This window comes from Homo sapiens, chromosome 13, assembly GCF_000001405.40.
Source record: "Homo sapiens chromosome 13, GRCh38.p14 Primary Assembly".
In the NCBI taxonomy this organism is placed as follows: Eukaryota; Metazoa; Chordata; class Mammalia; order Primates; family Hominidae; genus Homo; species Homo sapiens.
In genome coordinates this window covers 93560681-93576779 of record NC_000013.11, presented here as the reverse complement: position 1 = coordinate 93576779, position 16099 = coordinate 93560681, and the positions used below count along the sequence as shown (strand labels likewise).

At 35.0% G+C, this 16099-nt stretch overlaps 1 protein-coding gene across 3 annotated transcripts in view, besides 1 other annotated feature; it reads right to left on the bottom strand.

The window, feature by feature from the left end:
- Positions 1 to 16099, bottom strand: part of GPC6 (glypican 6) — a 1191492-nt gene that overhangs the window by 831241 nt on the left and 344152 nt on the right. The gene's annotated exons all lie outside the window — the stretch shown is intronic.
- Positions 14732 to 15336: an enhancer, noted in NCBI's record as "OCT4-NANOG hESC enhancer chr13:94213697-94214301 (GRCh37/hg19 assembly coordinates)". NCBI's record gives its function as "activates a minimal SCP1, AML or CMV promoter by ChIP-STARR-seq in primed H9 embryonic stem cells {active_cell/tissue: H9 hESC(primed)}" and the evidence as "EXISTENCE:reporter gene assay evidence [ECO:0000049][PMID:30033119]".

Here is a 16099-nt window from a genome sequence, read left to right as displayed (position 1 = left end):
ATATGAAATTATATTCATCAGAATTTGTGTTTTCAAGGCCTCAGCTTGTAGTAGCACTATTAAGAACCGTGAAGGTCATGGGGTAAAATTTTATGTTTTATTGTACCTCAGGAAATTGTACGTTAGCATGACACTATCAATAATGAGCTGTAAAGTTGAAAGAAATTTTTCTGAACTATCAATAATAAAAGGCAAATTTCAATCAACCAAGATAGAGAAAAGACAATATTTACTTTCCATTTTATGCATAAAAATATTAAAAAACCTGTGTCATAGGAAGATATCACCAGAGTACACAGCCAAAAACTAAGGGCAAAAAGAATTATACAGATGTGTCAGGCAGTTAATAAATAAAAGCTATTCCTCCAAATTCTGTGATCTTTTATTTTTGTTTGATTTCTTATAATTCCTTTCTTCTAAATATTCACTTAATATAAAATTTTGTATTGTGCATAAAATATAATTTTTTGTCTTCTTTTAATTAAAAATTGACTCCCTCTTTCTCCATTTATATAATCTTCAGATCTCACAAAACCTGGATCTAACACTGTTCTGTACTGTCTGTAAAACTTTCCTAAATTAATGTTATTCAATTTAAATCTTTTCTCTCACTATAGCAACAAATCTACACACAACATAACAAATAGAAGAGACAATTGCATTCATGTTGTTCTTTCAGTTGGGGTAAATATAAAGGGGAAAGAAGCATATACAAGCAAAGGTAAGTGAATGGTAAGTCTTGATTCCAAAAATAATAATAATTAAGAAAGAAAAAGCATTGTTTATTATAGAGTCAATGAAGACTTGCACAGTCTTGTGCATTTAGGCAACTGGGTACTCAAACTAAATTGTTGGTTGAAAAAAAGAAGAAAAAACATTGCTGGCAACTCTCAGCTTTGTAGATTGGAGACTCCCTTAAAATAGGACAAGTGACTATGATCTTAAGAAGCATGCACCACAGAGATGACATTAAGCTGATTGATTTTTAAATTTTATTCTGCAAAGCAAAAGCTCTTGGCAGATGCAATATTCTTCAGAAGGCATGGATGATAGTTATCAAAACTTAAATACAGCTTTCAAAGATGTACTTGGACTAGAAGCTACTCTAGGTTAATCTCTTCTACTTATAAGACACTGAGAAGAAGGCAGGAAATGATAGAGATGAGAAATAAAAGAGGCCTAATACTACTAAATTGGCTTTCAATTAATACAGTCATTTTCAAAGGATGCTCCATGGACCAGCAGCATAATCTGGGAACTTGTTACTCAGGTAAATTCTTGGGTCCCAGCCCAGATCTACTGAATCTGAAACTCTGGGACTGAGGGTCCACAGTGTGTATTCTAACAAGCCCTCCAAGTGATTCTGTAACACACTCCGGTTTTAGAAACACTACATTAAGAAAGGCATGGAGTAATATCTCCTTGACTACCCCATCAATAGAGTTTTAAGTCATATGTAATAGACAATTCACCTTTTTGTTTCTTTTTTGAGACAGAGTATCGTTCTATACCCCAGGCTGGAGTGCAGTGGTATAATCTTGGCTCACTCCAACCTCCGCCTCCCGGGTTCAAGCGATTCTGCCTCAGCCTCCCGAATAGCTGGGACTACAGGCATGCACCATCACACCCTGCTAATTTTTGTATTTTTAGTAGAGACAGGGTTTCGCCGTGTTGCCCAAGCTTGTCTTGAACTCCTGACCTCAGGTGATCCACCCGCCTCGGCCTCCCAAAATGCTGGGATTACAGGCATGAGCCACCGTGCCTGGCCAACAATTCACCTTTTCATTGAACACTTTCTTTTTGGCCAAAAAAGTACATTAAGCACTTCCCTGGGTTTGTCACTATACATAGATTGTCTTGGGGAAAATTAATTTGACATTAACAAAATAAAAGTCTGATATGGATGAACCTCTAAAACAATATGCTAATTTCAATAAACCAAATAAAAACTGTATGTTTTATAATTCTATTTATATGAAATATTCAGAAAAAGCAAATCTCTAGACAGAACGCACATGAGTTGATGTGTGGGGATAGCAGTGGAGTATAATGGGCATTGACAGCAAACCAACCTGAAAGATTTTTGGGGGGTAATGGAAGTGATCTAAAACTGGATTGTGGTGATGGTTGCACATCTCTGTAAATTACTAAAAATAATTAAATCATACACTTCAAATGGTTGCATTTTTAGTATGTGTAGTCGTTTCCTAGGGCTGATGTAACAAAACATGATAAAATGGGCACCTTAATAGAACAGAAATTTATTGCCTCACAGTTCAGGAGGCTAGGGGTCCAAAATCAAGAAAGTAAGCAGGGCCATACTCCCTCCAAAATATGTAAAGAATAATCCTTCCCCCCTTCTGCCTAGCGTCTAGTGTTTGCCAGCAATCCTTCTCAATCTTGGCTTGTAGACACGATACACCAATCTCTTCCTCTGTCGTCACTTATAGCAGCCTTTTGCCTGTGTGGTTCTATCTTTTCTTATAAAGCTATTAATCAGATTGAATTAAGGATTAACTTTGCTCCAGTATAACCTCATCTTAACTAATTACATCTGCAATAAACTTATTGTCAAATAAGGGTATATTCTGAGAGGTATTACAGGTTAGGACTTTAACATACCTTTTTGGGAGACACAATTCAGCCTCTAACGGTATGCAAATTATATCTCAATAAAATAAAACTCTTACACAAAACTATTACAAGACATCCACACCAAAGTTCGTAGGATACTTGAACATATGCCATTAAAAAACACCTCCCATAAAAACAGCATTATTGGCAATCGGGTGTTATTATGACCAATTTCTTAGAAAGACACCTCATGTCTCTCAACTCAATCCTGTTAGAGGACATTTACGATCTCCTAAAGACAATGGATCACACATCAGTAGATTAAGTTTAATTTCCACAGTTTGCTGTAGAAATGGATGAGCAGAGAAAGGGAAGAAAAAAAGGCAAAACGTGAAGTCCTTTGTCAAAATTACTTATCAGTATTAATTGGTATATGTGGGTGTGTTGGGGGAAGAAGCTTCCTGTTAAAACACAGCCACCTTTGGCAGCAGGATCCAGAAGCTACATAAAAGAGGCATCTGGCTCTAAAATTTATTAATGAACTAGGTCTCGATTGCTCAATCTTACCCAGTACCTAACCCTTTTTTCTCATTTTATCGACTTACGTGCTTTCCTAGGTGTGTGTTCAAGTTTTGTTTTTGTTGTTACTGTTTGATTGGTTGGTTTTGAAAATCTCTTCTATATAAAAGCCCCATTTCCATTAAAATAAAATTTAAACTTTTTTTTTTGTAGTTTCCCAGATATTAAAATCCATCAGGTTTGGGGAGTACTGGATGTAGACAGAGCCACCATACAGTCTACAAATACAACCATTGCTAAAAGTTGCTAAATAAATCTATTCTATTGAAAGAGGGCCTGTCTCATGTGACTTTACACATTATCCATAACATTGCTATTTACGATCTTGGCACCACATTCCCTTTCTGTTTTTTTTAAATATTTATTCCATAATGCTATCAATTTCTAATGTATATTATAATTTACCTATTTATAGTGTTCATCACATACCATCTGTATCCCTGAATATAATATAACCTATCCAAGCAGGGATCTTTGTCTTTTTTTCCCACTGATAAATATCTCAAGTGCCTAGAAAATTGTATGGCATACAATATGCACTCAATAGATATCTATTGACTTTTTACAGAACATTCTTGCTATTATGACTTGAAATACTCTAACCTTTTCCCCTGCCTCCTTCACCACTTCAGTTGATATCTGATTCTGACCTGATGTGCCCAGGACAATTTCATCTTAACTGACCTGCTATCTTTCTAATGTTGTGGGCTCTCTTTTATGAAGTTCTATGCCAATTTAGTTCTTCTTCTATAGTCATGAGATACAAGGAATTTAACATGAAAGAAAAAGCAAAAAGAAACTTTTTTGTGATCATAGTTCAAGCACAGAGCAAAACTGTTCTGAAAATATAAAGTTCTGGCTTAACAAAGAGTATATTGAGATCTAAAGGTTCGTTCTGTGAGAAAAAATACAAAAGACTGCTTATTCAACTAATCTTCACAAACCAATTAGGTATACTATCTCTGAGAATTTATATCCTTCTATAGTTTTTATTTTTCTATGGAATAATATAAGTTTCTAAATACTCCTTGAAGCTTAAGAATTCTATAGCAATGTTTGTCAAACTGTCACCTGCATCAAAATCATTAGACTTGTCACATCACAGATTGCGGGGTCATACCCTTAGGAGTATCTGTTTAGCAGATCTGGGATGGGGCCCAAGAACAGGTACTTCTAACAAGCTACCTGTGATGTGGATGCTGCTGATCTGGGAACCACAGTTTAAGGACCACTGGTATATATCATTCCAAGTTCTCATTTGTTTCATTTTATCCCCAAGCGTCCCCTACATTTCTGATGTGAAAGGGTACATATATGATGGTTCTGAATCATGAATTAACTCTCCCACAAGTTAAAAATAAAAAGCACCACAAATGCATAACAGTCATAAACTCCCAACCTATATCCTTTAGTAGCACACAGAAGACTGCTCAAAGGGCTTCCTGAAAGTCTACAGGTACTGTGCTTCCTCAGTTTCCTTGAATTGAATCTGGTACACATTTATGATGAACAAATGGTGTAAGTCTGGGACAACAGTGAGCCAGTGAAAGGAGGCTTAGATGTAAGCTCAGATTGAGCTTCTTGGCCCAGCTATAGTTTGAAGATTCAATTATCTCAATTCTAAAATGACAAAAATAATGCCACTTTGCAGAGTTATAATGGTAAAACTAGATCATGTCTTTTAAAATATGAAATCATTTTTTGAAAAGTAGTATCAAATGTGAGACCAGCAAATCAATAATATTCTGAAGTTTAATTTGTGAATAAAATGGACCATTGTGCTCGTTCACCAGAAAATTATCTAGTCATCCAAAACCTCTGTTCCCTTTCCCATCTAAAACATGAAGAAAATACCTATATAAGCAAAGGCAGTGAAAAACTGTGGATGAGAGGTTATCACGACCTTCAAATTATATTCCATGTGAAGGGCTTAGAGAAAAACAATGTGTTAATCAGCAATTAGAGTCTGCATCTCTTTATTAAGACTTTAAAAAATGAATTTTAGTCACATCATTAAATCAAAATAGTTAAATCCTTCCCTGTGGTCTTAGTTCCTTCATGCAGATTCTGTTACAACTACAATATCACATCTTGAAACAGTCATTGTAAAGTAAATGGATTTCTGAAGTTATAAATTTGTAAGAGGCATAAAATTATATAAAACAAATTCCTGATAATGATTTTCTGGTATATTACAATCTTAAGTGAACCAATTTCAGCTGAGATAATTAAAACAAGATTTCCCTCCATGCAAATTTACCCTAAATGAAAACATTCTAAATTTAATTCTCATGTATGAATAGTTAATCAGCAGAATCAGAGCTTTCAAACTAGGGCAGCCTTAAGTAGTGTGCATGTATGTATGTGCACACGTGTACATGTATGCCTGTTTGCGCATTGAGAGCTAGGCTTGGGACGAGAATGTTAGAGAAAGTTGGCAGTGATGAGCCAAATCTAGATCTCCCTGTTACCTCTTCCACTCAATACAGGGCAGGACTTCTTTCTGCAACGCTGATATTAGAACAATATTCCAGGACTTCATAGGTGACTCAAATGCTTGATTAGAATTTCACAATTAAAAAATATATATATATGTAATAAGACAAACACTACACACACTGAAAAATGTTAAATCCCAGATTTTAACATACTGGAGACCAACATCAGGACTCTCGTCAAACCAATAATTGAATTACGAGTAAGTAAATTATTGTTAATATTAATTATAAGACAAATTTATATTTATGTTCTATTGTTTCTCTCAGTATTAGAGATTGGATTTTTGTGTAATATTCCATTTGAAAGAATTGTTTCATTTTGCAAATAATCTGAAAACTACTGCTTTAAAACATACCTGAAAAACAAATGTAGCTTCTTTGTAAATGCGTCCAATGTTGGCAAATTCAGAATTCCCAAAGGCAGCTCTAACTGTGTGAAAAAGTTCTTTGTTATATGTAGAAATCTTACTTCCTGTGATATCTACTCACTCAACTGTTTCTGCTTTACCTACTCCACAGAGCAGAACAGAAAACATTCACTTTTCTAATACAGTGCTTGATGCCTAGTATATGCTCTCTTTGTCTCTCATCTTCACATTTTCACATTCAAAAATGACTATTTATAGAACATCGAATGGCATGGCCATTAGCATTGCCTTTTGTAAGTCGATAAAATAACTCTGCATAATACATAAACATCTGTGCCATAATGCTGGTGTTTTCCCATGTATTGATGAACAAGCAGTAGATTTACTTAAGGTAGGTATTCACTAGTGGGTACTGATAACAACAAAGGAATAAATAAGTAATTAAATTCAACCCATTACAACCAAGAACATCAGCATTCATGTGCATACATTTAACCTTGGGTCAATAATTAATACAGAAGTATAGACATTTATGCTGCATATTCTACTGCACATTACTTCTTTCAGACATAACTGCTATTGCAAGGATATATGGTTAATGGCAATATCTTTCTTTAGGATGAGCTGAAGTACAATGGAAACTTAAATATGCATGAAAGGCAAGCTTTCTCTAAAACTCTGGCAGTTATTTGATATTGGAACAGCACCATCAAAATATTCAGTGACATTAAATAATGTGGTATATTTACAAAAATAAATCTTAAGATAGTCAAGAGATTAACAATGAGTAATGACCGATTCAATTAATATCATGGGTAGTCCTTATTGTGTCCAACAGGTATAAAGATACTTTATATTTTGAAGGTAATTCAAACACACGCACTTACACAAGATATCTTAATTTATTTTCACACAAATTCTGAATAGGATATTTTTATTATAATTGGTAACTTTATCACCTATATTTTTTGAAATTATTCATAAGGCATATTGTCATGTACAAAAAGTATACAAATAACATTTAACAAATAAAAGAGATTTTTCTCTTTTCTTCTTGATGTTAATGAGTTATTAATATGCTATTAATATTAGTTATTAAGATAACTAAGTTATGAAGATAACTTAGTTTTCTTAGGGAAACAAATTGCTAGATCCTAGGACAGTGACCTACAACCATAGAGAATGAGATGTTCATTCGCTCCTGGTGGTTGCCTACTCTTGCTTACTTTACTTTGAGCAGTGAGGTTTTAAAAATGAGGATTTCTATGTTTTCTCAAGTTCAATCTTATCAGTGATCAGATCAAGAATGAGGAAGTTGATTGAAATTCTCTTTAATGCCACATAGATGAATTCCTTTATATGTATTAACATTATCCCCAAGTGACAAGTGTGTAAACTAAGGCTCAAATAAGTTAAATGACTTCTTAGGGTCATGTGATTAAGTGCAAGAGCCAAATGACTTACGAATCAGACAAGTGCTGTTACATTGTGTTAACCCTCTTTTTTATTGTTGACTAGTGTTCTAGTCCATTAATGATCCCACAGTTAATTATAATCTTATTTATCTTCAGGAATAAAGACTATTATATCATGTTCAGGTCTACAATTATGGTAGGTTCAAAATCCATTCTATGTAAATGAAGGTATCAAAATATTTCAAACAAAACTAGCCTTAAGATCTTTGAAAAAAGTCTTGTGTTAGGCTCTACCCATATGCTAAAGCGTTCTTTGTAGATGCACATCAGGACTGGAGGTAGTGGCAGTTATGCCTGGACTTGATACAAGTTCCTTTCCCTATCTTTGCAACTCTCCAATCCTCTATCTACCTCCAATAAGTAGGCTGGGATGCATAGATAAAACTAAAACATGAAAAGGCAAAGAAACACAGGAGCAAGCAGATTCTAGTCTAAAGGTGGTAATAATCAGTTAATGAAGAGAATCATTAGTTTTAGAAATACTGATGAAATCAATGTCTTAAAATCGTAGTATATGATTAAACTGGATGGGTCATCTTCTTTTAGTATGCCAGACAGAGACAGCCTCAGGTTACTTTAAGTTGTAGATATTTGTTGTAAGGATGTGCAGAGGTCTCACACCGAGCTAGATTTTCATGGCAGTACAGCTCAGCTCTCAACTCTGGATATCTTCTCTTTTATTCACTGCCTTATTTTTGTGGTTTCTGCCCCAGTGACTGTTTCCTTTAACTTTCTCCCCTCTTTGTTCCTCATGGTATGTGTATAGAACAGTCGCATAAATTCTGTCTTTCTCTTCCCTTCTACCTCAGCATCTATTGCTCTTGAGCTTGACATCTCCAAGGGAGATATTTGCTCACCAGTTCAATATAATCAGTATTAAGGAATCAAAATCATGTTGGGCATGTACTCTGCTCATCAAAATCAAAAGTTTTGTGGGACCGAGAGCATGCCTGAACATAACAATTAAAAAGAGAGATATACTCGTTATCTTTCCCTAGTTAATAAGATTTAATATTAATCTCATAGTTACAAAAAGCCACAATGAATACTTCTAAAAGTGGAATAAAAAATGTAGGCAGCCTATTACTTGGTAAGTGGAGGTAACTAGTACATCTTTGGAGGGAGTATCTGAATCCCTTCAAAGTTTAGAAGATGCATCTTGAAAGACACACTCAAATGGATGCATCTTCTCAGTTAAATGCCATTCACTTATAGAAAGTTTCCATTGTCCTTATGCTGATGAACTAAACCATACCACCTATAAATAGCACTATCAAGGAATCTGTATTATTGGTTTCTCTTAGAACATCAAGTTGCTATTCTTGGGTCATGGTGGGGTAAAACTATGAGCTTGGCATGTTATGGACTGCCAAAGGAACAATGAGTCTATGTATGACCATGGTGAGCCACCAAACCAGCTGAACCACTAATTTCTATAGAATAACTAGGTCTAAAAAGCCTAATTTCTGTGCTTATAAAGCAAATATCTGTTGACCAATCTAAGATGACAGTTTTATTCTAACAATAAATAGGGTAAAATTTAACTGGTATTTCAAGTTTATCTCAGAAGCAATGTACTGAAATATAAATTTCTAATCTAAAAGAAGTATAGTGTATTCAAAATGTTTTGAATATAAAATATCTCCTAAACAGTGTTTCAATAGGCCGGGTGCAGAGGCTCACACCTGTAATCCCAGTGCTTTGGGAGGCCGAGGCGGGCAGATCATGAGGTCAGGAGATCGAGACCATCCTGGCTAAGATGGTGACACCCTGTCTCTACTAAAAAAAGAAAAATACAAAAAAAAAAGTTTCAATAGAACAATAGGCTAACAAGATTATTTTATGTCTAACAAAATGTTGTAGGGGCCAAATGTATTTAAAAATTTTTACATATTTTATCCCTTATGCGCTACTTCAAATAATCTTTAACTCCTAGTAAATTGCTATTCTCATGCTAAAATTCAATAGAGTCCATCAGCTCTGCTAAGAACTCCTTTGACTCAAACAAACAAGGTAGTCACTCCATCTTCATTGTTTCCAGAATATGGCCTGTGTGTCTATTACAGCACATATTGTATTATTATTGTAATTGTTAATACGACTGTTGATGGAAGTGTAAATTAGTTCAACCATTGTGGAAGACAGCGTGGCAATTCCTCAAGGATCTAGAACTAGAAATATCGTTTGACCCAGTGATCCCATTACTGGGTATATACTCAAAGGATTATAAATCATTCTACTATAAAGACACATGCACACGTATGGTTATTACAGCACTGTTCACAATAACAAAGACTTGGAACCAACCCAAATGCCCATCAATGATAGACTGGATAAAGAAAATGTGGCACGTATACACCATGGAATACTATGCAGCCGTAAAAAAGAATGAGTTCATGCTCTTTTCAGGGACATGGATGAAGCCTGAAACCATCATTCTCAGCAAACTAACACAGGAACAGAAAACCAAACAGTACATGTTCTCACTCCTAACTGGGAGTTGAACAATGAGAACATATGGGTACAGGGAGGGGAACATCACACACCAGGGCCTGTCAAGGGGAGGGGGCAAGGGGAGGGATAGCTTTAGGAGAAATACCTAATGTAGATGACGGGTTGATGGTTGCAGCAAACCACCATGGCACATGCTTACCTATGTAACAAACCTGCATGTTCTGCACATGTATCCCTGAAATTAAAGTATAATAACAAAAAGAAAAAAAAGTCATAAAAAAAAACAAGCAAAAAAAAAAAAACTTTCTCCAACTTGACAACTAGATTTTTCATTTTGTTGCATTCACCTTACACATGCATCTCTGAAGAGAAGGAGGGATTCCCTGAACATGCTGAATTACTAATTACTTTCTAAAAGTGTTATCAGTGGAGCACTATCATATTTAATAGAGTGAAATTTATTTGACGTTGTCATTAAAAATGCTTTTTATATAAAAACACTAACAATATTCAGTGTGTTTCATTAGCACATGTTTAAGGACTTAACTTTGAAAGAATAGTACCTATCAAAATATCTTCATAAGCTACTGAATAACATTTAGGTAGTAACTGCTCTTGCAGTTATCAGTGGCTTGCAGCATGATTATTACAAGGAAACATAAAAATTTTACAGCATATCTCTGCCTCTTCATTTCTCCAATCTCTTAAATGCAGATGGCAGTGCCTTATGTTCAGGTAGGAGTTGCTTACTATCAGTTTATGGTCTTAGTTCAGCCATAAGGCCACGTATCATCAAAAGGTAATTCACTCACTATATTTTTTTGTTGTTCATTTCTCTCTGAATTCACTGAAGCAACTATAGTGACCAGATGTGTTTTTTTTTTCTTTTTTTTTTTTGTTTGTTTGTTTTGAGACAGAGTCTCACCCTGTCACCCAGGCTGGAATGCAGTGGTGCGATCTCAGCTCACTGCAACCTCCGCCTCCCGGGTTCAAGTGATTCTCCTGCCCCAGCCTCCCAAGTAGCTGGGATTACAGGCACGTGCCACTAAGCCCAGCTAATTTTTGTATTTTTAGTAGAGATGGGGTTTCACTATGTTGGTCAGGCTTGTCTTGAACTCTTGACCTCGTGATCCACCTGCTTTAGCCTCCCAAAGTGCTGGGATTAAAGGTGTGAGCCACCGTGCCCAGCTGACCAGATGTGTTTTTAAGGAGTCTATATTTGTAAAGATGCTGAGGGTCCTTAGATAAAAAGAAATATCAACACACTTTTTCAAAGCCCAATTGAGGAATGACGTCCTTGAGAATCAAGAAAGCAGACACTTCCTAATGAAGAAACGATCAAGATACTCTCAATTATTGGAAAAGGCAAAGAGTTGAGTGAGAAGTTTAAATTTGTTAATCCAAAGAATATATATTCCTTTATCCAAGAAACAAGTTTATTGTTAAAATGTTGCCATATAAGCAATGAACCAGACCCCACACATTTCTTTCTATGTTTTCCTTGCACGCTTTTCATTTCCCCAATTGCAGTGGGGCCAACACCTGCTGAGGTGGAGCAGGTACATAATTGAAGTCGAAAATTACAGAATGTTACACTGAGTGCTGCTTCTCCCCCCTTTCAACAGATAAAGGGAGGGCAGAAATGGAGACACAGGTCCATGGAAGTTAAAGGCACTGAAGTCAGGTTCACAGTCTGTGAAGTTGGGGGCAAGTGGGAGAAAAAAATAAAACTGAATATAAAGACAGAGACTTGCAGGCAAATTACAATGAAATCCAACATTTTGACAATGTTGAAAAAGGGAAATTGACAAAAATGCTACATTCTGAGGGAATGTTTTTTGTTTTCTTTTTTACTATCTAAGGTTTCAGGTTAAGAAAAACTAAGTTTATATTTTGAAACGGCACAGAAAAGGATAGGGAAATTTGTAAATATTTAAAACAACAGCAGAGAATTAACAAATAGACTTAGGGTATTAATAACAGGGGTGAGGAGTGGGCAATTCCTAAGAGGTCTGTTTTAGTTATTTTGTATGAAAAATCTTTAAACATTGAACTGACCTTTTCCTGGAAGTAATTCATGTACAAAATATACTTAACAAGAAACTCTGCAACATCCAAATGTCACAGTCATTCACTTCATAGAAGGTAAAAAGTGTTCTTCAGAAGAAGGGAAAAAAAATTATTTCACTGAAATTAGAAGTGCTTTAACATTGGTTTTGACGTGAACATGGTCACTTTTAAATTGAAAGTGGGGTGTAGAAAAGCAAAAGACTTTCACAACCTGCTTCTAGCGTCTTGTAAATAACTGAATTTGAAGATTTTCAGTTTTCTTTAGCATTGCTGCATTGTTCTTCTTTAAAATATTTTAATAGGTAATTCAATTCATATATATTATCAAATATTCAAAAGGTACAAAAGGACTTTTCTCTTATTGCTGCTCCCAAAGACTATTTTCATTCCCCAAATCAAATACCATTACCAGTTACCTATATATATGACTCCTTCATGTATATATAAATACAATATCTGCTGACATTTAAAGCAAGGTTTGAGTACACAGAAAGTTTACATGATATTTACTAGGATTAGGAAAAAAAGTTAAATATTAATGAAATAAAGGTTACTCTTTTTTAAGGTTTTACAGAATCTTTACAAGTTTTAACTATTTCATCCTTAGTCTTAATGGAAACGTTATCATGTATTATACCATTTCCTTTATGAGTTAAAGTATAAAATATCTAATAAAATTTTGTGTGAAAAATGTGAGCTAAAGTATGAAATATAAAGAAATATATCTCAAAGTTTTATATTAAAAAAGACTACTCATTGGGTACAGGGTATAGTGCTTCGGTGAAGGGTGCACGAAAATCTCAGAAATCACCACTGAAGAACTTATTCATGTAACCAAACACTACCTGTTCCCCAAAAACCTATTGAAATAAAAAAAATTATACATTAGAATATAACTCTGGCAACTTGCAAGTCTATCCATGCTACAGAGTTTTTATAATTTCCTAAGAATAGACAAACCATGAATTTTCTGCTGGCAGGATTAGTCTTTTTTTTTTTTTTCTTTCATTCTCAGACTCCCATCTTCAGGTACTGCCCAGGCTCCAGACGTTTTTCTTGACATTACCAAGGAATGACTCAAGAATTTCTACTTTCAAATGCTATACTTGCTACTCTTTAGTTGCAACCTTAAGTGCCAGTTCCAGTTGGTCCTGTCTCGTTTATTGTGTCTGAGATCTCATCTTCATATATGTTACATACATCAAGCTACAGATGTGAGCTCTGATTTCCTGTTAAACTGGGATCCTGCCTCTGCGCCCAGGGCTGTTTTGTTTGTTTGTTTTTCCCACCCCCTCCCCAAGGGTCATTTGTATCTGTGTGCATATTTGCATATCATTTTTGTCTGCATCTCCAGTGCTGGAACTCTGGATATTGGTAGATACTACTGTTAACTTTGCAAGGATATGGGTTGCTTGGTTGGATCGCTGTTGGTGGCTATATCTCCCAAATACTGTTTTCCCACTCCCCATCCCTCCCACCATGATTTACTTGTGGCATCTATAACTAGGTCTATCTTGATGTGAACAGGTCAAGCTTAAGATTTTCATTTTTTTTCATAATTAAGTGGATCATATCCAATATTGTCGAAGTGAGAATGCCAAAACAAAGACTTATTCACAAAATAACATTTATCACTTATTAGTATAAATTCGTCTACCCACTAGAGACTCCAGGAAATGGAAAAAGCCATAATGGTAGAGTTGCCTGAGAATCCCATTGCTGAAAGAATATTTAATTTCAGAAACAAAGCTCAAATACTTCATTCCAAGGTAATTAGATTTGTTTTCCTTATGGAGAAAGTAGGGTTTGGTAACAGGTATAGACTGGATTAATTCCTACTTCTGTCTGTAATATGTGACCTCAGGCAAATTCCTAATGTTTCTAAGTAAGAACTTCCTCAAGTATGAAACAGAAAAGGTAATGATGTCACCCACCTCATGGGATTTTTGTGATGGCTGAAGGGGATAACACACGTAAAGCACCTAAAATAGGGCCTGGCACATAGTATTACTTAACAAATATTATCTACAAGAATTTGAATATTAGGAATTTTCATATTTATTGGGCAAGAAAATTAATTTTCTTCTGAGAAATGAACCAAGGAAACAAAGGAGCTTTTTCTTTATCAGAAAACCCTTATAAAAGTAATATGAGTGGGGTAAAAATAGTAAAAGCAAATTGTGTGTCAAAGATGATAATAAGTGCTTTATGTATATTATCTCATTTAATTCACAATAACTCTCCATGGTAGAATTTAATTTTTAATCTTTTGAGATAGAGAAACTGGAGTTTCATCAGGTTGCTATATGCAATGAAGTTAAGATCTAGTTGTCTTTCTAAACTTTTCTCATGATAGTATCCTGTTTCAATTTCAAAGGCAAATGTGTATTGAAATTGCTAAATTTCATATGTTATACGTTTAAAATGTTATATTTGTTTCAAATATCTTGCATAAAGGGATCTAGATTTGAAATTCTAAAAATGTGAGTAAGGCCGAATTACAAGGCAGCAAAGCCCACGCCCGGCTCTGTAACTACTGCATTCTCTCCTGCTTGAGTCTGGTAACGGCACTAAATAAGGCCTTTCTTCATTTTATTATGCATCACAAGGGAAAGGCTCCATCACAAACTATGGCTTAGCAGGAAAATAAACTTGGATTCAGCAAATTAACTTTCAGCATAGTTTTCAATGACTAGGGTCTCAGACTATTAAATTTTGAATTTCAGAAACACGCTGTAGCAAAGAACAACAGCTGCTGCTGAATCCCAATCCACAAAGCAACAGCAGTTGCAGCATCTGGACCAACAGCTACTAAAGCTATATCAGTAAATAAGGTGAAAGTCCCCATGCAATTTGACCCTTCAAAATCTTCTCCCCAAGCCTGCAATGGGTGGCTCAAAGGTATCTTCACAAGGAAGGCAAATGGCATATTTTTTAAAATGTCTGCTCAGGCAGGAGCCTGTGACCTTTGCTCTCTGTCGGTAGAATGGATACTAACGTTGCCAGCTGGAAGTAAATGGATATTTTAATTGAAACACATATGACTATCTCCAACTGGGGGTTGGGGGAATGCAAACTAGAGAGTCTTTCTAAGTTATCAATGAGCACCCAGCATGACTTAGCTTCCTACAAATGATCCTCCATTAGCCTGGGCTTGTTTTGCAAACAAATACTCAAATAGAAAACTGCTCGGCTCTTGTATATTTGGCACTGTTTCCCAATACCAGCCCTATTAGCGGATGTGAAATATAAAGTGTAATTTAGGATCATGTTCATTTTTGTTTCCTGGGGAAAATGGAAAAGAAAACAGTATTAGAATATAAGAACTGCAACAAATATATATATATATATATATATCGATAGGGATATAGTATGCAATTATTGATATAAATGTGTATCAATCTTACTAAAAATTATTTTTTCATAGATGCAACTTTCTCTTCACTTCCAATGTTTAAAATATCTGATATTTTCCCAGAACTTATTATTCCAGTGAAAGAAATTAATTAGTCTTTAAATTTACTATTATCACTTAGGATAAAGGAAAGAGTTCTTCACTGAATGTGAAATGTTGGCTATCTATCAATATGCTTTACTCCACATGCAGATGTTTGTTTAAATGGCAAGAAATATTTTGTGAAGACAAAAAAGATCATTAGTCATTACCACTCAAGTTATTTAGCCTTTCTAAAGATTACCGGTGCTTGCTTGCTTTCATTATATTACTTATTTTAAAGAGACGTCACATGTGAGGTTAAGGTATTTCACAACAATGTTATTTTTCTTGATTGTTGTTCAAATACATAAGAAAGAGGCTTAAAAATGAAGTTACTGGGGAAGAGAGCAGAAAACACAGCCAAATTTAAGGTTTGACATGCGCAAGAAGACAAACAGCTGATTTTTCTGCTTTGTTATCAAAGTAGCTTTTATTATGTTCCCACAAAATTAACAGGGTTATGCTGGATATTGAGCAAAATTCTTTTTTTTTTTTTTTTGGAGGCGGAGTCTCGCTCTGTCGCCCAGGCTGGAGTGCAGTGTCATGATCTCGGCTCATAATTTTTTGTATTTTTAGTACAGACGC